General features: G+C 55.0%; 2 protein-coding genes, 1 long non-coding RNA gene and 2 pseudogenes across 14 annotated transcripts in view, besides 5 other annotated features; 1 reads left to right on the top strand and 4 right to left on the bottom strand.

The window, feature by feature from the left end:
- Positions 568-655, bottom strand: RNA5SP441 (RNA, 5S ribosomal pseudogene 441; annotated as a pseudogene).
- PPIAP54 (peptidylprolyl isomerase A pseudogene 54) lies at positions 6,099-6,803 on the bottom strand (annotated as a pseudogene).
- GJD3-AS1 (GJD3 antisense RNA 1) lies at positions 9,309-11,899 on the bottom strand. Its single transcript, NR_186704.1, has one exon. It is a non-coding gene; the product is annotated as a GJD3 antisense RNA 1 (long non-coding RNA).
- Positions 10,007-14,092, top strand: GJD3 (gap junction protein delta 3). Its single transcript, NM_152219.4, has one exon. It carries the CDS (start codon positions 10,929-10,931, stop codon positions 11,811-11,813), a length of 885 nt encoding a protein of 294 aa, NP_689343.3. The 5' UTR covers positions 10,007-10,928; the 3' UTR covers positions 11,814-14,092.
- Positions 11,556-11,665: a silencer, noted in NCBI's record as "silent region_8490". NCBI's record gives its function as "represses an Ori minimal core promoter by ATAC-STARR-seq in GM12878 lymphoblastoid cells {active_cell/tissue: GM12878}" and the evidence as "EXISTENCE:reporter gene assay evidence [ECO:0000049][PMID:35858748]".
- Positions 11,696-11,775: a silencer, noted in NCBI's record as "silent region_8489". NCBI's record gives its function as "represses an Ori minimal core promoter by ATAC-STARR-seq in GM12878 lymphoblastoid cells {active_cell/tissue: GM12878}" and the evidence as "EXISTENCE:reporter gene assay evidence [ECO:0000049][PMID:35858748]".
- Positions 11,793-12,087: an enhancer, noted in NCBI's record as "tiled region #13940; HepG2 Activating DNase unmatched - State 4:PromP". NCBI's record gives its function as "activates a minimal TATA promoter and a strong SV40 promoter by Sharpr-MPRA in HepG2 cells {active_cell/tissue: HepG2}" and the evidence as "EXISTENCE:reporter gene assay evidence [ECO:0000049][PMID:27701403]".
- Positions 11,896-11,965: a silencer, noted in NCBI's record as "silent region_8488". NCBI's record gives its function as "represses an Ori minimal core promoter by ATAC-STARR-seq in GM12878 lymphoblastoid cells {active_cell/tissue: GM12878}" and the evidence as "EXISTENCE:reporter gene assay evidence [ECO:0000049][PMID:35858748]".
- The window catches only part of RARA (retinoic acid receptor alpha), a 48,464-nt gene continuing 44,608 nt past the window's right edge, over positions 17,101-20,956 (bottom strand). For all 12 annotated transcript variants that reach the window (XM_011525095.2, NM_000964.4, NM_001145301.3 and 9 more), the window contains 3 exons: positions 20,238-20,442; positions 19,323-19,481; positions 17,101-18,735 (listed from right to left, as the gene is read on the bottom strand). In XM_011525095.2, coding sequence (XP_011523397.1) covers positions 18,518-18,735; positions 19,323-19,481; positions 20,238-20,442 — 582 coding nt within the window. In that variant the 3' untranslated portion in view covers positions 17,101-18,517. The remainder of the gene's footprint in view (positions 18,736-19,322; positions 19,482-20,237; positions 20,443-20,956) is intronic.
- Positions 19,582-19,651: a silencer, noted in NCBI's record as "silent region_8487". NCBI's record gives its function as "represses an Ori minimal core promoter by ATAC-STARR-seq in GM12878 lymphoblastoid cells {active_cell/tissue: GM12878}" and the evidence as "EXISTENCE:reporter gene assay evidence [ECO:0000049][PMID:35858748]".

Here is a 20,956-nt window from a genome sequence, read left to right as displayed (position 1 = left end):
CAAAAGAGGAGAGGGTGACCAGTGTGGAGTGTAGGAGGACAAAAAGGAGGAGGAGGGGGAGAAGAAGGAAAGAAGTCCACCGGAGAGGTGAGAGAGAGATGTGTAATGATGACTTAGAGAAAGTCTTACTCTCTGTTTTCATTGTCACCTCAATGATTTTCAGCACAGATATGCATTGCTTTTTTCTTTTTAATCAACCGTGAGTTGTAATTTACATACATAAAATGCACCCATTCTTTTTTTTTTTTCAGACGGAGTCTCACTCTGTCACCCAGGCTGGAGTGAAGTGATGCAATCTCAGCTCACTGCAATCTCTGCCTCCTGGGTTGAAGCAATTCTCCTGCTTCAGCCTCCCGAGTAGCTCGGACCACAGGCACCCGCCACCACACCTGGCTAATTTTTGTATTTTAATGGAGATGGGGTTTCACCATGTTGGCCAGGCTGGTCTTGAACTCCTTACCTCAGGTGATTCGCCCAATTCAGCCTCCCAAAGTGCTGGGGTTACAGGCATGAGCCACCGCGCCCGGCCATAAAATGCATTCATTCCAAGTGTAAAGATTGATGACTTTTTGATAAAGGTGAACTCCTCCCTTCCAAGTGCTAACCAGACCCAACCCTGCTTAGCTTCCAAGTTCAGGGTGGTATGGCTGTAAATGGTAAATGTATCCACTTGAACAACCGCAATCACAATCAAGATATAAAGCATTTCTATCACCTCAAAAAGTTCTTATGTGCCTCTTCAACCCCTAGCCCCAGAAAAACCCTAATTTGATTTCCAGCATTACAGATTACATTCACCTATTCTAGAACTTCATATACATGAAATCACAGTACGTATGCTTTTGTGTCTGGCTTCTTTCATTCAGCATGTTTTAGAAATGCATCCATGTTGGCCGGGCGCGGTGGCTCACGCCTGTAATCCCAGCACTTTGGGAGGCTGAGGCGGGCAGATCATGAGGTCAGGAGATCAAGACCAAGGGCCCCGGCCCTTCTTTTTTTTTTATTGCTGAATATTTTTCCATGGTATCATCTTGTTTCTCCATTCACCTGTTGATGGACATCTGGGCTGTTTCCAGTTTGGGCTCATTATGAATAAAGCTGTAATAAGCATTAGAGTACATATCCTTTTCTAGACATAACTTGTCATTTCTCTTGGGTAGATACGTAGGAGTGGAATTGTCGAGTCACATGTTAAGTGTATGTTTAACTTCATAAGAAACTGAGGAGCTGGTTTTCAAAGCAGTTGCATCATGGTACATTCCCTCTTACTTGCTCGGTACTTTCAGGAGTCAGATTTGTGTTCTCTTGGGTAAGACAATGTATTAGTCACGGTTCTCTAGAGGGACAGAACTAATGGAATAGATATATATAAAGGGAAGTTTATTAAGTATTTACTCACATGATCACAAGTTCTCACAATAGGCCATATCTGCAGGCTGAGAAGCAAGGAGAGCCAGTCCAAGTTCCAAAACTGAAGAATTTGGAGTTGGGGGGCAGGAAGCATCCAGCATGGGAGAAAGATGTAGGCTGGGAGGCTAGGCCAGTCACTCTTTTCACATTTTTCTGCCTGCTTATATTCTAGCCGTGCTGGCAGCTAATTAGATTGTGCCCACCCAGATTAAGGGTGGGTCTGCCTTTCCCAGCCCACTGACTCAAATGTTAATCTCCTTTGGCAACACCCTTACAGACACACCCAGGATTGTATCCTTCAATCCAATCAAGTTGACCCTCAGTATTAACCATTACAGACGATATCTTCATTGGGCTCAAGGTAGCTCCAATACATCATGATGAGTGTAAAAAGATATTATACCCATAAATGTGTTTTTGTCAGGCCTCTGAGCCGAAGCTCAGCCATTATAACCCCTGTGACCTGCACATACACGTCCAGATGGCCTGCAGGAGCCAAGAAGTCTGGGGCAGCTGAAAAACCACAAAAGAAGTGAAACAGCCAGTTCCTGCCTTAACTGATTAACCAACATTACAACATTCCACCATTGTGACTTGTCCCTGCCCTACCTTAACTGATCAATCGGCCTTGTGACATTCTTCTTCTGGACAATGAGTCTTATAATCTCCCCACCATGTACCTTGTGACCCCCTCCTCTGCTAACAATAGATAACCACCTTTTACTGTAATTTTCCATTACCTACCCAACTCCTATAAAGCAACCCCTTCCCCATCTCTCTTCATTGACTCTCTTTTCGGACTCAGCCCACTTGCACCCAAGTGAATAAACAGCCTTGTTGCTCACACAAACCCTGTTGGTGGTCTCTTCACATGGATGCGCTTGACAGTTTTTAGGTGGAAGAAAGGAAGCTCCATCCATAGATGACCTTGTCTTCTGCCCCTAGTAACTTTCCAGGGCCTGTGCCAAGCACAGCCCTTTGGGTCCAGAATTGTTTTCAGGCAGGGAGCTTCAGTGGTCTGTGGGTCCACTGATCTTGAGCTGACCTGATTGCACTACTGACCTGCTTAGTCCCCCTTGAGAGACTCTGGAAGGGCAGGGATCTCGGAGTACTCTCCATCCCAGACCAAGTCCAGGATCATGAGGCTGGGGTGATGGAAAAAGGATCGGGACCCCAGGCTACAGGCAGTGATAGTGATTGCTTACACATCTTGACATGTACAAAAACACAGGCCATTCAGAGCTGCATGGCAAAGGGGTGGTGGGGGGGGTGCAGGGGAGGGACTCTGAAAAATGCCTCTTGATGACTCAAATCCTTCCCCTGCCCCAGCCCCAATCCCAAAGCAATTTCTCTCACCTGTCAGTTCACTCAGGAAAAAGAAGGGCTTTCAAGGAAAGGAAGAAAGGGATTCCCAAGCCCCTTGGTCACTAAGAAGAGGCTACCGCAGGCCCCAGCCACCTTCAGGTACACTCATTGTCTTTCCAGAGCAAGGTTGCTACATGTGCAACCTAAAAATGGGCGAAAACGCAGGAGCTCCCCTCGGAGGAAATGACCCTTCTGCCCAAGGACGGTAAAGAAGGGATGAGGCTTGGCAGAGGGGTGTGAAGGAAAGCCCAGAGGTGCAGTGGTTTGGAAGGGCCTAGGGACAAGGTGACAGACAAGACTGTGGAGGCTTCCTTCTTCCTCCAGAGCAGCTAATGGGGGCAAAGACTTGGGAGGAACCCAGTGAGTCCAACGACCCATGTCAGCGTGGGGGACCAATGCCAGAAGCAGATCTGTGACAGCGAGGGAGTCTCCCTGCTCCCTCCTGGGCACAAGAATAAAGACTACATTTCCCAGCATCCCTTGCGGATAGGTGTGGTCGTGGGGCTCATCCTACCCAATGACATGTGAGCAAATCGGTAAAGTGGCCACTTCCTGGCCCTTTTCTGAGACAGGGGGAGAGAGAGAGAGAGAGAGCGAGAGGGAGACAGCATGGGGCTGTGGCGGGGGCAGCGAGGTGCCCGCGCCCCTGAGGACTCCATGGGGCAGGCTTTTTTTTCTTTTTTTTTTTTTCTTTTGAGATGGAGTCTCTCTCTGTCGCCCAGGCTGGAGTGCAGTGTCCCAATCTGGGTGCACTGCAACCTCCGCCTCCTGAGTTCAAGCGATTCCCCTGCCTCAGCCTCCCGAGTAGCTGGGATTACAGGCCCGTGCCACCACGCCCGGCTATTGGTAAAGACCTGGTTTCACTATGTTGGCCAGGTTGGTCTCGAACTCCTGACCTCAGGTGATCCGCCCACCTCGGCCTCCCAAAGTGCTAGGATTACAGGTGTGAGCCACCGCGCCCAGCCCTTTATTTTTTTAAGACTGCGTTTCGCTCTGTTGCCCAGGCTAGAGTGCAATGTCGCAGCTCACTGCAACTTCCGCCCCAGGGTTCAAGCGATTCTCCTGCTTTAGCCTCCTGAGTAGCTGGGATTACAGGCGTGCACCACCACGCCCGGCTAATTTTTGTATTTTTTAGTAGAGATGGGGTTTCACCGTGTTGGCCAGGCTGGTCTTGAACTCCTGACCTCAGGTGATCCGCCCCTCTAGGCCTCCCAAAGTGCTAGGATTATAGGCATGAGCCACCGCACCCAGCTGGGGCAGAGTTTTTATGTGAGAGAGAAACAAACTTCTCTCTTGCTTAAGCCACTGTTTGGAATTGTTGTTCCATCCAAACCTAATCTTTTTTTTTTTTTTTTAAGACAGAGTCTCGCTCTGTCATCCAGGCTGGAGTGCAGTGGCGCGATCTTGGCTCACTGCAACCTCTGCCTCCCGGGTTCACGCCATTCTCCTGCCTCAGCCCCCCAAATAGCTGGGACTACAGGTGCCCGCCACCACGCCTGGCTAATTTTTTTGTATTTTTAGTAGAGACGGGGTTTTACCGTGTGTTAGCCAGGATGGTCTCAACCTCCTGACCTCGTGATCCGCCCGCCTCAGCCTCCCAAAGTGCTGGGATTACAGGCGTGAGCCACCGCACCCGGCCCCAAACCTAATCTTAAATAATCATGGAGCCAAAGGAGGGAGCAAAGGCTAGATGCGAAGGCGCGTCCCAGGTGTTGAAAATGCAGGGCCCCAGGGGTCCATAGGGAGCCAAAGGCAAGCTCCAAGGCAAGAGCCAGGAGGTGGGGCCACCCTGGGGTGGCAGAAGTCATCTGGTCTGGAAGGTTTTCGGGGCGCTGGGAAGAATATGAAGGGTCAGAAGCTGCAGCCAGGTTGGGGAGGGTGCAGAAGGACTAGAAGGGACCAAGAAGAGCCAACTCTGCCGCCCTCCACCCCTTCCCTCTCCCACCCAGGCATGGACCCAAGGCCAGCCGAGCTGGGGGCAGGTGTTTACCATGAATCCATTTTTGAGTTCTTGTTTCTATCTAGGATGGGAAATTCTGATTGCTGACCTGAGACTGGATTGGCCACTTAAATGCCCACAGCCCTAGAGGAGACCAGAGCCAGCAGTTGAGACCTGAGACACTCAGAGTTCTTATCACCTTAGGGCAGAAACTTCCACCCACTTCATTCATTCATCCACCCAACAAACATCTACTGAGCATCCACTGTGTGCCCCCAACCATTCTAGGTGCTGGGGATGGGACAGTAAGCAGAGCACCAAAAATTCCTTCCCTGTGGATCACCTGTGCTATTGGGAGAGATGGACGCTAAGCAGGATACATAAGAAAAAGATAAAATTGGCCAGGTGCGGTGGCTCACCCCTATAATCCCAGCACTTTGTGAGGCCTAGGCGGGTGGATTATTTCAGGTCAGGAGTTCCAGACCAGCCTGGCCAACATGGTGAAACCTCGTCACTACTAAAAATACAAAAATTAGCCGGGCGTTGTGGTGGGTGCCTGTAATCCCAGCTACTCGGGAGGCTGAGGCAGAACTGCTTGAACCTGGGAGGCGGAGGTTGCAGTGAACTGAGATCGTGCCATTGCACTCCAGCTTGGGTGACAGAGTGAGGCTCCGTCTCTCTCTATGTGTGTGTGTGTGTGTGTGTGTGTGTGTGTGTGTGTGTGTGTGTATAGTTATGTAGTAGTCAATACAAAGGAAATAAAGCTGAGAAGGGACAGGAAACAGAGGGGTAAATTTCTGCTAGGGCAGCTGGGGAAAGCCTCACGAAAAGACAGCATTTCTGTAAGGACTTTTTAAAATGTTAGCAGGGCACAGGAGACAAAACAGCAGTGTGATGGCTCAAGGATGTCAGTAAATAGAATAAATAAATAAATAACAATAAAAAATAAGTGGCCAGTTATGGTGGCTCATACTTGTGATCCTAGCACTTTGAGAGGCCAAGGCTGGCGGATCAATTGAGCCCAGGAGTTCCAGGCCAGCCTGGGCAACATGGCAAGACCCTCATCTCTACAAATAATTTTTTTTTTTTGAGATAGAGTCTCCCTCTGTTGCCCAGGTTGGCCTGCAGTGGCACGATCTTGGCTCACTGCAACCTCCACCTCCTGAGTTCAAGCAATTCTCCTGACTAGCTGGGAATACGGGCATGTGCCACCATGCCCAGCTAATTTTTGTATTTTTTAGTAGAGACGGGATTTCACCATGTTGGCCAGGCTGGTCTCGAACTCCTGACCTCAGGTGATCTACCCGCCTCGGCCTCCCAAAGTGCTGGGATTACAGGCATGAGCCACCATGCCAGGCCTTACAAATAATTTATTTTTATTTATTTAGTTAGTTTTTATTTCATAATCATAAGCTTAATTCTGCAATCCAGCTAGGCATGGAAAGGAACAAGGAAAACAGGGAACTCAAAGCGAACTGATCGAGAGCACAAAGATTCTAGGATACTGTGAGCAAATGGGGTGGAGGGTGCTCTCCTGAGCTACAGAAGGAATGGGCTGGTGGTTAAGATAAAACACAAGTCAAACTCATTAGAGTTGCCCACAGTCAGCAATGGTGATCTTGCTGGTCTTGCCATTCCTGGACCCAAAGCGCTCCCTGGCCTCTGCAATATTCATGCCTTCTTTCACCTTGCCAAAGACCACACCCTTGCCATCCAACCACTCAGTCTTGGCAATGCAGATAAAAAACTGGGAACGGTTTGTGTTGGGTCCAGCATTTGCCATGGACAAGATGCCAGGACTGTATGCTTCAGGAAGAAGTTCTCATCATCAGATTTCTCCCTGCAGATGGACTTGCCACCAGTGCCATTATGGCGTGTGAAGCCACCACCCTGACACATATACCCTGGAATAATTCTGTGAAAGCAGGAACTCTTATAACCAAACCCTTTCTCTCCAGTGCTCAGAGCACCAAAGTTTTCTGCTGTCTTTGGAAACTTGTCTGCAAACAGCTCGAAGGCGACACAGCCCAAGGGCTCACTGCCAGCGGCGATGTTGAAGAACATGGTGGGGTTGACCATGGCTGATAGTTACTGGGTACAAACACATACGTGCACCTATGTGTGTCTTACATGAGCAGTGGCCCCACAATCCGATGGCCAGGGAGAGGTGTCTGGAACAGAGACCGGAGCGAGGCAGGATTGGCCTCTCAGCCCAGCCCCAGATTTTTTTTTTTTTTTTTTGAGATGGAGTCTTGCTCTGTTGCCCAGGCTGGAGTGCAGTGGTGCCATCTCGGCTCACTGCAAGCTCCGCCTCCCAGGTTCACGCCATTCTCCTGCCTCAGCCTCCCAAGTAGCTGGGACTACAGGCGCCCGCCACGACACCTGGCTAATTTTTTGTATTTTTTAGTAGAGACGGGGTTTCACCGTGTTAGCCAGGATGGTCTCGATCTCCTGACCTTGTGATCCGCCTGCCTCGGCCTCCCAAAGTGCTGGGATTACAGGCGTGAGCCACTGCACCCAGCCCCCGGCCCCAGTCTTTAGGCATGGCCGAGAATGGGCCACCGGCTGCCAGATGGAGGCAGCGTCAGCAACACCTCCTCTCAGGCTGGATGGCGCTATCAGGGAAGGAGGACCGGGCCTGAGATTGTAGAGTCTCTGGGTCTGGCCCTGTGGCATCACAGGCTGCAGACAGCACAGGGTGACTGTAGGCTCTCCACTTCCCACCCCACCCTGGCCCACCGCCTCAGCTGCTTTCCATTCCCGCAGGGCTGATGGGCTTTTTCCAGGTGGCGCCAATGGCCTGACCCAGCAGGAGCCACGGGACAGGACGGGGTGGGGACCATTCCTGGACAGTCAAGGGAGATGAGATGTGACCCTGAGCCCCTGTGGCTGGGGGCAGGGGGCCGGTAGCAGCTTTGCCAGGGGCAGAGGGAGGTCGGGAGGGTGAGGCCAGCAGCGCCCCCAACCCACATCCTGTTTTCAGAATCTGGGGCTCCAGCATGTGCTTTTTCCCTTGGACTTTCTCCAGGGCAGCGTCCCCCACCCAGGCCCACTCCCAAGGGAAGCCTGCACGAGGGCAGGAGGGTTCCCCAACACACACAAGCAGGAGTTTACCTAGAGTTTTTCCTGCGGGGGCTGGGCCCCTGAGCTGGAGGGAGTGGTGGGTGAAGGGTACGTGCCTTCCCCTTCCTGAAAGTGGACCTGGGGGTCTGCGTCAGCATATGGAAAACCACACAGGCACCCATGGCTGATAGGGAGAGGAACTGTGACCAAGGAGGTGAGTCCTGCTGCCCTTCTTCAGAGGGGCAGGCATGACCTCCCTCCAGTGCCTGCACCCACCAGCCCCACACAAGGCTGGCATAGAGGCAACCCCTCCTGGGGACTGTCAGGCCCTGGGACAGCACCTGGGAAGCCCAGCCAGGCTGGATGGAGGACAGTTCCATGAAAGGCTCAAGAGCTTGGGCTCAAGAACTAGTTGGGCCTCGCATAGGCCTGGATCTGCTATTTACCGGCTGCGCGACAGCAGGCAAGTGGCTTAGACCCTCTGAGTCTCAGTTTCCCCTGGTGTAAATAGTGCCCTCATGCCACCATTGACAGAGAATCGAATGAGCTCATTGGCATATGGAGCTAACGGGGTTCCACACGGGGACTGGCCCAGCAGGTGCATAGGTGAAGCGGGTTTTGCTATGCACTCAGGCGGACCCCTAGGAAGGCAGAGCAGACAACCAAACATCTCAGCCTGGAGTGTCCCCTCCCTGACCACTCAGATCACCGTCGGTCACCCTTACTCCCTTCTCCATAAAACAGCTTCCCCCGCCACCCAGGGCAGTAGGAGGGAACTCTCAATTCAGAGCCTTCTGGGGGGAAAAAGTCCTATTTTTCACATTATAAAATAACATGAGGCCGGGCGCGGTGACTCAAGCCTGTAATCCCAGCACTTTGGGAGGCCGAGGCAGGTGGATCACCTGAGGTCAGGATTTCGAGACCAGCCTGACCAACATGGAGAGATCCTGTCTCTATTAAAAATACAAAATTAGCTGGGCATGGTGGCACATGCCTGTAATCCCAGCTATTCAGGAGGCTGAGGCAGGAGAATCGCTTGAACCCGGGAGGAGGAGGTTGCGGTGAGCTGAGATCACACCACTGCACTCCAGCCTGGGCAACAAGAGCAAAACTCTGTCTCAATAAATAAATAAATAAATAAATAATAAAATAACATGTTAGGCCGGGTGTGGTAGCTCACGCCTGTAATCCCGGCACTTTGGGAGGCTGAGATAGGCGGATTGTTTGAGGTCAAGAGTTCGAGATCAGCCTGGTCAACATGGCGAAACCCCACCTCTACTAAAAATACAAAAATTAGCCGGGCGTGGTGGCGCACACCTGTAATCCCAGCTACTGGGGAGGCTGAGGCAGGAGAATCGCTTGAACCCGGGAGGCGGAGGTTGCATTCAGCCAAGATCATGCCACTGCACTCCAGCCTGGGCGACAGAGCTAGACTCCATCTCAAAACAAACAAATTAAAAATAAATAAATAAATAACATGTTCATTATAGTAAAGCTGGAAATAACAGAAAAGTGGGAAGGAAACCAAAGATTTTATTTAACTATCAAAGCCAGGCACTTGGGATATTTTAATGGTTTTCCATATGGGATTTTTTTTTTTTTTTTTTTTTTTGCAGGCACAAGGGTTTTTTTGGTTCTCTGTAATATGGTTGGGAATTCAATATTAAGAAGTAGAGAATCCCAGCTACTCAGGAGGCTAAGGTGTGAGGATCACTTGAAGCCAGGAGTTCAAGATCGACCTGGGCTATGTAGAGAGACCCCGTTCCAAAAAAGATGTAAAGCTGGAAGGAAACTTGGGGGTCAGCTGGACTGGCCGCCTTTGTTGACAAGGCAGGAAAGCCTGGCTCAGTACCGCCGAATGATTTGTCCAAGGTGAGCGGTGGCAGAGCTGGAACCAGAAGCTGTTAGATGTTTGCTGCCCCTTAAACTCCAGCACCAAACCTCCCTCTGTCCCCGAAGACCATCTTCACAGGGCATGGTTAGTGCGTAGTGGATCTAGGCTCCAGACTGAGGGTCTGTCTGGGAAGGGCTTCTAGGAATCCCCCAGCTTCCTCGATAAAGGATGTGGCTCTGGTTACCCCCCTCCCCCATTTCCAGATGGAAATTTAGCTAAAGAGTGAGGGCCACAGAGCCCAGCAAGGGGCGTGGTCCGTGCCTGTTCCCAAGGGCGGAGCCAGCCAGCAGGGTCACCCTGTTCCTTTAAGAGAAGGGGGAGCGCTAGCCCCTCTCAGCCATCCTGTCCTGTCCTCCATCCTGGCCAAATCCGAAAGGGAAAATGAAAGAGGGAGCAGGAGGCGCCGGTCCCAGCCACCTCCCAAGGTCCCTGGCTCAGCTCTGACACCCCAGTCCCGGCCCCAGGGTGAGTGGGGTTGGGTGGCGGTTTAGGGGCACCAGGGGCGTGTGGGGACCTGTGTAAGTGTGGGGTGGGGAGGATCTCAGGAGATGTGGAGGCTGGAGGCACAGGAGGCCAGGGAGGAGGGAGAAGCCTGGCGTCGCACTCCCACCACGCTGGGGTAGGAGGGCAGGGACACCTCCGACAAAGGACCCTGTGAGAGTTATGAAAGCGGAGTTGCCTCTGTACCAGCCCCCCACCCTGAGAGGAGTTCACTGCAGTAAAAATGGTGAGAGAAATGGTGGGCCAAGAAAGGAGTGGTCTCGCTGCCTCTGCCACTCCCACTCCTCCCATGGGCACCAAATTGGGTCTAGCGTCTCGGGTTCGAGGCTCCACTCTTCCCACAGCATCCTTGACAGCTAAGGGCACCGCTGGGTTTCCGCTTCCGAAACCAGGCAAGTCAGGGGCTGGTCCAGCTGATCTCCAAGGTCCTTCCTAAGAATCTGGGATCTGGAGGATCCCAGGGTCGAACGGAGACGGCTCAGGGGGTGCGGCTAAAATGCAAATGGGGGATCCTCCCCAGCACCCATCGGTCCCAAAGAGAAGGTAACCCATAGCTGAGCGTCGCCTGCTCCCCTCGGGCCCTCCCGTGGCCCTCCGTTTCATACTGGTCTCATCGCTAAACCCGGGCCTCTCCTACCTCACGACTCACCCTGAAGTCAGAGAAGGTCCAACGGACCCCACCCCGATAGGCTTGGAAGGGGCAGGGGTCCCTGACTTGCCCCATCCCCTGACTCCCCGCCCCGCGTCCCCAGCGCCATGGGGGAGTGGGCGTTCCTGGGCTCGCTGCTGGACGCCGTGCAGCTGCAGTCGCCGCTCGTGGGCCGCCTCTGGCTGGTGGTCATGCTGATCTTCCGCATCCTGGTGCTGGCCACGGTGGGCGGCGCCGTGTTCGAGGACGAGCAAGAGGAGTTCGTGTGCAACACGCTGCAGCCGGGCTGTCGCCAGACCTGCTACGACCGCGCCTTCCCGGTCTCCCACTACCGCTTCTGGCTCTTCCACATCCTGCTGCTCTCGGCGCCCCCGGTGCTGTTCGTCGTCTACTCCATGCACCGGGCAGGCAAGGAGGCGGGCGGCGCTGAGGCGGCGGCGCAGTGCGCCCCCGGACTGCCCGAGGCCCAGTGCGCGCCGTGCGCCCTGCGCGCCCGCCGCGCGCGCCGCTGCTACCTGCTGAGCGTGGCGCTGCGCCTGCTGGCCGAGCTGACCTTCCTGGGCGGCCAGGCGCTGCTCTACGGCTTCCGCGTGGCCCCGCACTTCGCGTGCGCCGGTCCGCCCTGCCCGCACACGGTCGACTGCTTCGTGAGCCGGCCCACCGAGAAGACCGTCTTCGTGCTCTTCTATTTCGCGGTGGGGCTGCTGTCGGCGCTGCTCAGCGTAGCCGAGCTGGGCCACCTGCTCTGGAAGGGCCGCCCGCGCGCCGGGGAGCGTGACAACCGCTGCAACCGTGCACACGAAGAGGCGCAGAAGCTGCTCCCGCCGCCGCCGCCGCCACCTCCGCCACCGGCCCTGCCCTCCCGGCGCCCCGGCCCCGAGCCGTGCGCCCCGCCGGCCTATGCGCACCCGGCGCCGGCCAGCCTCCGCGAGTGCGGCAGCGGCCGCGGCAAGGCGTCACCGGCCACCGGCCGCCGAGATCTGGCCATCTAGGGGCGGGCACCGCCTCGCGCGGACTGGACGGCGAGGGCCGGACCCCGCCACCTCCGCCCGCACCGCAGAAGCCGGAAGCTGCTTCCACCAGAGCTGTCGCGGGACCTGCCCCGGCAGGAGACGCGTTGTGGGGACGGCCCGCGGGCGGCATCGCACTTGCCTCGTACTGCCTCCCAGTGGCTGCCGGCGGCACCTGGGGCAGGCCGGGCTGGGGGCGGAGAATGAACTCAGGCAGGTCCTGGATGCCACCACCCAGGTGGAAAGGAAGGAGACCAGGACCCTGAGAGAGAGTGGACCCGAGGGGGAGAACAGAGCGGAAGGTGGAGAGTGGTTGTTTTACTGGGGACAAAAACAACTGTGATGCCAGCATTCTCAGGCACTCTCTGTGTTCAGAGAGAGAGTGGTCCCCCTGTGGGCTCTCTGCGAGTGTGCATACACGGACACATAAGCACTGTGAGCTGTGTGCACGCGCACCTGTACACCCTGTGTGAGCGCTGTGCATGTGCGCGCATGTGTACACCCTGCGTGAGGCCCACTTGTGCACACAGACACACGTAACCCTCCCGGGTGAGCTGTGTGCACATGCACACAGAAACATATGCCCCTTGAGAGCTGTGTACTCACATCCCTGTGAGCTTTGTGTGAGTGCATTGTGCACACACGCACATGTCCATTCTGTGTGGGCTGCGTGTGCACACCTGTACACAGAAACATCCTTGTGCGCTATGTGTGCATGTGTACATCCGGCGTGACCTCTGTGTGTGCACGCGTGTGTGTGTGATCTCTGATATGCACTGCGGGGGTGGCCAGGATCCGATGCCAGCTGCAGCCACAATGGCTCCCTCCCTACCACCCTAACCCAGCCCACCTGCCAGGGCATCACAGGAGGTCTGTCCCCCCCTCCCAAGAGACCCCGCCCAGGGAGGGAAGAGGAGGAGAGGCTCCCTTTCCCCGGGCAGGCCTCAATCCTCGGGAGCCTATGAGCAACATCCTCACAGTACCCCTTGTGGCGAGGCGGGGGCTGGGCGCTTTCATGGAGGTGGGGTGGGGGTGGGCGGCGGGCCAGAGGGCAACCCAGACGTGTGTTATGCCTCCCTCCTCCATCTTCATCCTCCCCGCCGCTACTGCTCCCCCAGGCTATAAACGGGAAAGTCCCTTCTGTCCTCAGGAGAAAGCTCCCAAAACACACGCGCTCCCGGCCCTGCCTTCCCTTCCAACCACCCCCTTCTTCCTACTTGCGGGCATTCGAAGAGCTGCTGCCTATGCAGCGCATCCCCCTCCTGTGTCTCCCCTCCCGTCTGCCCTCCCCCTTCACCAGCCAGTGGGCTGCTCTCCATAAGATCACCCAGGACCTAAGCGAGAAATCCAGGGGCCGTCATCGGACTGCACCTTGCGGGCCTCACCGCATCCTGCCTACCAGGCTGTGCGTTCCCCGCCATCACCCCACCCTGTCCTTCTGAGTTCCTGGCGTCTTTCTCAGCTCTCCTGTGCCCCACACAGCAGTGGGAGGTGTTTCTGAATAGCGCCCCCCACTTAAACCCGGGACTGAGGGCAGCACCCCTGCCCTCAGGGTGAGTCAAGCGCCTTCACAAAGCTTCCTTCTGAAGCCCTGCCCCTGTCAGGCCTTCGACTCCACAGCACCGGCTTCCAGGTGTGCTCAGAACCATAGGGAATTTTCTCTTCTAACAAGCACCAGACCTGCTTGCTGCCAAGCGTTTGAACGTGCTGTTCCTTTGCCCAGAGTAGCCGCTGCTTCCTGCAGCCTTCTCCTCCCCTAGCTAATGCCCACCCACCTATTGTTGTCACTTGGGAAGAAAACAGACACCTTCAAGGAGAGGGCTCCCCTGGTAGCCCCCACCCCAAGACAGAGCTGGATGCCCCTCGCTTCCGTAGGGAAAGCACTTCTCCTGCAGGATGGCATTGCTCTCTCCCCTTCCATGGCACGTAGTATGTGCTCAGTAAATATGTGTTGGATGAGAAACTGAAGGTGTCCCCAGGCCTACACCACTGCCATGCCCGAACACTATCCATGCTATGGTGGGCACCATCTCTCTGATGACAGTTCTGTGTCCACAACCCAGACCCCTCCACACAAACCCAGATGGGGCTGTGCCGCTGTTTTCCAGATGTATTCATTCAACAAATATTTGTAGGGTACCTACTGTGTGTCAGAAGATGTTCAAGATCAGCATCATCCGATGGAAATAGCATATGAGCCATGTATGTAGTTTCAAGTTTTTCATTAGCCACATTAAAAAAGTAAAAGGAAACAAATGAAATTAATTTTAGTCACGTATTTTATTTAACCTAGCACACCCAAAGTATTTTCATCTTAATGCCTCATTGATATTAAAAAGTATTAAGGAGATAGTTTACATTCTTTTTTTCATACTAAGTCTTCCAAATCTGCACCCACCTAGCCAATTCTTTCCTCTAGAGATTTAGCAATGAGCCTCGGCTACAGCGGGAGACTCCGTCTCAAAATAAATAAAACTAAATTAAAAAGAGATTTAGCTGAGAGAGGCCACCTCTTCCAGGAAGGCTTCTGAGCCCTGCCCCAAGCGTGATTCAGTGCCTCTGCCCTGCACTCCCGTAGGCCTGTCAAGCCTGTTGCAGCTCTGCCCAGGTGGCATCCCGGTCACCTTCCTCTGGCTCAGTCTCTCTGCGGAGGATGGGCCCTGGCTCAGTGCAAAGCACATCAGCCCTGGAGGACCACACTCCACAGCAGTGGATCTCACATGGGGGTGATTTTGCCCCCCAGGGGGGCGTTTAGCAGTGTCTGGAGACATATTTGGTTGTTACAGCTGGGGTGGGAGAGAAGCACCACTAGGGTTTCATGGGCGGAAGGTTGGAGATGTTGCTTAGCATCCTGCAATGCACAGGACAGCCCCCACAACCTGGCTCAGATCTTCACATTGGTGCTGAAGCTGAGCAACTCTGCTCGACAGCAGTGAACTGTGGACCACTGAGGACAACCCCAAGACTAGAGGTTCCAAACAGCAAAGGCACTACCCCAAGGGGCATTTTGTAAATGTGGGGGCCACTGCTTTGTTTTCACAATGATGGGGGACCCCATTGGCATTTAGTGGGCAAGGGCTATGGACGTCAAGATATCCTCTTGAAATAAAAACCTGCTTGGCACAACTTTTTTGTTTTTATTTTTATTCTTTGAGACAGGGTCTCCATCTGTTGCCCAGACTAGAGTGCAGTGGTGTTATCACGGCTCACTGCAGCCTCAACCTCCAGGGATCCAGCAACTCTCCCACCTGAGCCCCCCCCCCAAGTAGCTGACACCACAGATGCACACTACAAGGCTAGGCTAATTTTTGTATTTTTTTTTGTAGAGGCAGGGTTTCACCATGTTGCCCAGGCTGGTCTTGAACTCCTGGACTCAAGTGATCCGTCAGCCTCTGCCTCCCAAAGTTCTGAGATTACAGGCTTGCGCCACTGCGCCCAGCCTCAGGCACAACTTTAGAATGTCCAACTGGACATTGGCATAAGTGAAAACCCTGGGCCCAAACCCTGTTTTACATGTAAAACATTAAGGGTTTTGAGGCCAGGCACGGTGGCTCACGCCTGTAATCCCAGCACTTTGGGAGGCCGAGGCGGGCGGATCATGAGGTCAGGAGATCGAGACCATCCTGGCCAACACAGTGAAACCCCGTCTCTACTAAAAATACAAAAATTAGCCGGGTGTGGCGACGTGTGCCAGTAGTCCCAGCTGCTGGGGAGGCTGAGGCAGGAGAATGGCAATGGCGTGAACCCGGGAGGCGGAGCTTGCAGTGAGCCGAGATTGCGCCACTGCCCTCCAGCCTGGGTGACACAGCAAGACTCTGTCTCAAAAAATAAAAGAAAAGAAAAGATAAAGAAAAAACCATTAAGGGTTTTGTTTGGGCTTTTTTTGCATTGTTTTATTATAGATCAAACATGCCGATTTTTATTCCAACATCCACCCATGCTCTTTAATGTTCCTGGGCTTCTTGTACAGAATGGCTTCCAACCTTCTTTTAAATCCAAATGTATTCATTCAAAAGAGGGGCAAGCATTAATCTATTGAAACACATAGCACTGCCCCTCAATTTATCCTTTATAATACGGTTGTGACAACATATTGATCTGTGAAATCACGTGTACAGGTACAGTATGTTAGATTTCATTTCAGACTCGTAAAGATGTTAGAAAATATTTACTGGAGGAAAAGCGCCTCGGTCCCCGCGGTTGCCTCCAGCCTAGGGCGGCCGGTGAGTCAAGCAAGGCGCTGCCGCCACCTGGTGGTTAATGTAGAAATGGCAGGCAGCCTCTAGCAGAAGGAACCCTTTGCCTTACTCCCTCCCGGCTAGGCCCCCACAGCTTCCATCCCAATCCTGTGTTCTTGTTAAGTTTCTTTCTTCTTTTTCTTTCTTTCTTTCCTTTCTTTCTTCTTTCTTTTTTCTTTTCTTTCTTTCTTTCTTTCCTTTCTGTCCTTTCTTTCCTTCCCTTTCTTTCTCTTTCGTCCTTTCCCTTTCCTTTCTCCTTTCTTTCCTTCCTTCCTTCTTTCTTTTTCTTTCTTTCTTTCTTATTTGAGACGGAGTCCTGCTCTGTCGCCCAGGCTGGAGTGCAATGGCACGATCTCGGCTCACTGCAAGCTCCAGCTCCCAGGTTCAAGCAATTCTCTTGCCTCAGCCTCCCTAATAGCTGGGATTACAGGCGCCCGCCACCACGCCCAGCTAACTTTTTTGTATTTTTAGTAGAGACGGGGTTTCACCATGTTGGCCAGGCTGGTTTTGAACTCCTGACCTCAAGTGATCCGCCCACCTCAGCCTCCCAAAGTGCTGGAATTACAGGCATGAGCCACTGCGCCAGGCCTCTTGTTAGGTTTCTATGAGTCCCTGACCCCAGCTCCTGTGCCATCTGTCATTCCTGCCGTGATGGTGAAGGCTTCCCAAGGACCAGAAATGTCTAGGGGTGGCTCCGGCTTCCTCCCTCAGACTGGGGGTTCCCTGAAGGTGGGGGCAGCTTTCCTCCTCTTCTCTCCCACTCCCAGACTGGGGCTCCTTGACATGGGCAGTGTGGATCCCCAGACTGAGGGCTTCCCAAGGGGCAGGACTTTCTCCTTCTCAGCATCTCCAAAGACCCCAGCACAAGGTAAGCCTCAGAAGGCAGCTTGGAAGGGTGCCCTGGCCAGCCCCTTGGCCCCAGTGCTCATTCCTGGCCATCACAGGCCCAGAGCACATGACGAAACCCATCCCAAGCCCCCAGACCAGACGCCAAGAGGAGGGGGTGGAGGCAGCAAGGCTGGAGGCATGTGTAGAATAAATAGAACTTTATTCTTTATCCAGTAGATCTCAGTGGAAAGCCCAACAGTAACAGGTGCACCCACGGGCTCCAGGGGAAGGGGCCCCAACCCCTGGTGAAGGAGGTCGGGGCAGAGCCAGCTCCCCCAGCTGGGGGTGCAGGGGTGAGGGGAGACCCCCCTGTAGGCCCGTCCTGCGGGGTAAGGAGGGGGCACGGGGGTGGGACAGGTTGGGGGTGGGGGGCAGGCCAGGGAAATGGAGGAACTCGGGCCAAGTGTGTGTCGGCCCATCTACTGTCCAGTGTGTGTGTGTTTGTGTGTGTGCGCACGCGCATGTGTGTGGTGTCTGGGGGCCCTATGGGGGTGCTGGTGGCTGAGGCCGGGGGTGGGGGCAGCTCGGGCCCCTGGCCAGCCCCTTCACAGTGGGGGCTGGGGAGCCTAGATGATGTGGGCCCTGACGGGAGGCAGCTCTGCCGAGGAGCCAGGTCTGGGAAAACTCTGTCCCGGGGCCCTTGCTCTGCCCTGCTCCATGCCTCATGGTGGGTGCAGGCAAGTGCCAAGGCCAGGAGCCTGTCCTTTCAGGGCTGCCCCACACCGTCCACACCCAGTGGTCAGGCAGAGGGAGAAAGGGGCTGGCGGCTTCTCCAGTGGGAGGGAGGGGAAGGCAGGCCTTGGAAAGTTAGTACTTCACAGTTTTAAAGAGAAAACTGAGGAGGAAAAGGCTGAGGAGGAGAACTGGGGGGCACAGGGACATGAAAGGAGAGTGGGGGCCCCTTCCGAGCCACTCCCTCCCCCGGACCCACCCCCTCCAGCTCTGGATCCAGCTCCCCCCAATACACAGCACAAATTCCTTCAGTATAAATGTGCTTAAAATGAAAATTCTTATTAAAAAAATCAAAACAAAAAAATTAAAATAAAAACAAAACCAGCGAGAATTAATACCTGGGGTTGGTATGGCAGGGTATGTACAGGGGGAACCCCCCGCCCCTGTCCCACCCCCTCTGTCACCAACCGAGGCAGGGGGGAGGTTGAGGTTCCCCAGCTGGGGAGCAATGGCTTGTGAGTTCTGAGGATGGGGGAGCCAAGTCCTGGCGTTTGCTGGTGATGAAGATGTGGTGAGCTGGGCAGAGGGGTGTCTTGATGAACACGAGGCCCCCAGGACCCATCCTGAGACCCAGGACCAGGGGCCTCACTCAGTTCCTGGCCTCGGCCTCTGACGTCAGCCCAGGCTGTGGGAGCAGGCAGTCCACTGAGGGCCCAGGCCTCTGTCCAAGGAGTCGCTGCCTCCTCCCTCCCCGTCCCCCAGGGAAGGTCCCCAGTACTGCCCGGGAGGGCAGGTGGGGGCAGGGCTGGTGCGGGGTCACATGGTCGGTAGAAAGGCAGAGAAAAGCCGGGGCGGAGGGCGAGGGCTGTGTCCATGTGGCGTGGGCGGTCACGGGGAGTGGGTGGCCGGGCTGCTTCTGTTGGAGCTGGGGCTGAGGCTGGGGCTACAGCTGCCTGGCGGGGGGGCCAGGCCACCCCCGTCCCGCCCCCCACCCCCCGGCTGTCCGCTCAGAGTGTCCAGGCCCTCTGAGTTCTCCAACATTTCCTGGATGAGAGGCGGCATGGAGCCCGGGATCTCCATCTTCAGCGTGATCACCCGCTCAGCCCCTGCAGGAAAGGAGGGGGCAGAGGTCAGCACGCTGGGCCAGCCCTCCCACCCCCAGCCCCAGCAAGCCTGGCTCGAGGTGGGAAGATCAATACTGCTGATATTAGCATCTTTCTTGGGATTCAGTTCTTTGACACGAGCCAGCTCTCTTAAGCCCCCAGGTCCAGAGGCTGGTGGCAATGGGGCAAAGTGGTCCCGAACTCCGGCTCCAGGGCCAGACTGCCGGCCTGGGCTAGACGCCAAGCCCTTCCTTCCCCTGTGCTGTGTGCTAGGGATCATCCCGACCCCTCTGTAAACACGAATGTTATCCCCGCCCTCGGAAGGGAAACTGTAGCTAGGAGCTGTTGAGTGACCCACACAAGGACACACACCCACGTGTCTGGTTCCAGAGCCACGATCTGAACTACCACACAAAGGTGACACAGGCGGGCCACCTCGGCAAAGTGGAGTCACTAGGGGACCTCAGCCTAGACACAGATGGGGACAGGTGTCGTATTGTCCTGGCACAAAGACATGGGGTGCTGGCTTGGATGTGGGGGCCTGGGCCAGGTGTCGGGGGCCGGTACCCCTCCAGGTCTGTGAGCCTCACCCTTGGCGCTGATGCTTCGCAGGTCAGTAATCTTCATTAGCATCTTGGGGAACATGTGGGGGCGGCTGGGCCTCCGCTTCCGCACGTAGACCTTTAGCGCCTCCAGCAGCGGCTCCTGCAGCATGTCCACCCGGTCCGGCTGCTCCAGGTCCTGGCGGTCTGAGGAAGCAGAACCACCCCCTGAGCAGCTGGGAACACAGCTGCACCCCCAGCCTCGGCCACCGGGGGGCGTGCCTGCCCAGGCCATGGAGGAGGGCAGCTCGCAGGCGCCTCCCCACACAGGGCAGGGCATGGGGTCTCTGCTGCCGCAGGGTACAGAGGCCCTTAAAAGGGAGCAACGGGAGCTGAGGGTGAGGGGGTGCCCCAAACCCTCCCTGAGCCCAGTTAGTGGGATGGGACCCCAAATGGGCAGTGCCATCCTCAAGCAGGGAGAGGGTTCCCAGGCAGGCTCCCACTCCCCCCTGTTATTCTGGAAACCAGATGAAATGGCAGAAATCACAACAATAAAATAGCAACTAACAAGCACTGGAGCTCGCTCTGGGCACCTGCACAGTATCTGTTACCACCGTAATCCTCCCATCAACTTCATGAGCTAGAGACCGTTACCGCCCCCACTGTACAGAAACGGAGGCCCAGAGAAGTTCAGCAACCTGCTCAGGGTCATGCATCGGCCAGGAGGTGACCCTGGTTGGTCCGACCCTCAAACCCTCACTCTTAACCTCCCTAGAAGGGGTGTTGCCCAGAAATCGGGAACAGGAGTCCAGGCCCCACATGGCCCCCTTGCTGTGTAGTTGCAGACCAGACCCTGCCCTCTAGAGATACCTAACAGAGGTGGCCTGAAAGAGCTCCCTGGAAGAGACTCCAGGGCTGCACCCCCGTCCCAGCCCAGCCCCCAGACCCAGGCCCCCTGCCCACCTCCGCAGATGAGGCAGATGGCGCTGAGCAGCCCCGTCTCCGCATCATCCATCTCCAGGGGCAGCAGCTGGTTGGCGAAGGCAAAGACCAGGTCGGTGAGGGGGCCGAAGCCAGCGTTGTGCATCTGGGTCCGGTTCAGGGTCAGCCCGTCCGAGAAGGTCATGGTGTCCTGCTCGGGCGTGTACCGCGTGCAGATCCGCAGGATCTGGGTGCAGAGGATGCTTGGGTTCAGGGACTGAACCCGAACCCACTCTGAGCACTCGGCACCAGCACTCCGCACCAGCACTCCCGGAGGACCACCTGGCAGGTGGCCGGAGCAATGCTGTCTGATAGAATTTTCTACAATGATGGAAAGGTTCTACGTCTGCACCATCCATACCTCAGCCACCAGCCACATGCGTCTACTGAGTACTTGAAATGTGGCTAATGCAACTGAGGAACTGAATTGAGTTTAATTTTAATTAATTTAAATTTAAAGAGTCACATGTGGTGAGCAGCTACTGTACTGGATAGTGCAGGTCCAGGTCATCCTGCCTACATGCAAAGAATGTAGAGGGGACCTAGAATTTCTAGGAGCTAAGGAACACTGGGCTGCTGCCTACAGCTCCCAGGATGAGGTACACAACAAGCGCTCAGTAAATGTGTATTGGCTTGAATGTGGTTGCAGGAACCCAGACGGCACCTCCTGCATCCACGGCATGGGGATGGGAGCCCCTGCA

This window comes from Homo sapiens, chromosome 17, assembly GCF_000001405.40.
Source record: "Homo sapiens chromosome 17, GRCh38.p14 Primary Assembly".
Classification (NCBI taxonomy): Eukaryota; Metazoa; Chordata; class Mammalia; order Primates; family Hominidae; genus Homo; species Homo sapiens.
The sequence above is the reverse complement of the archived record's forward strand: the minus strand, read 5'-3'. Positions and strand labels throughout refer to the sequence as shown.

Bases quoted from the DNA above. Each gene is read 5' to 3' on its own strand.
- GJD3 (NM_152219.4), top strand. From the start codon at position 10,929: ATGGGGGAGTGGGCGTTCCTGGGCTCGCTGCTGGACGCCGTGCAGCTG.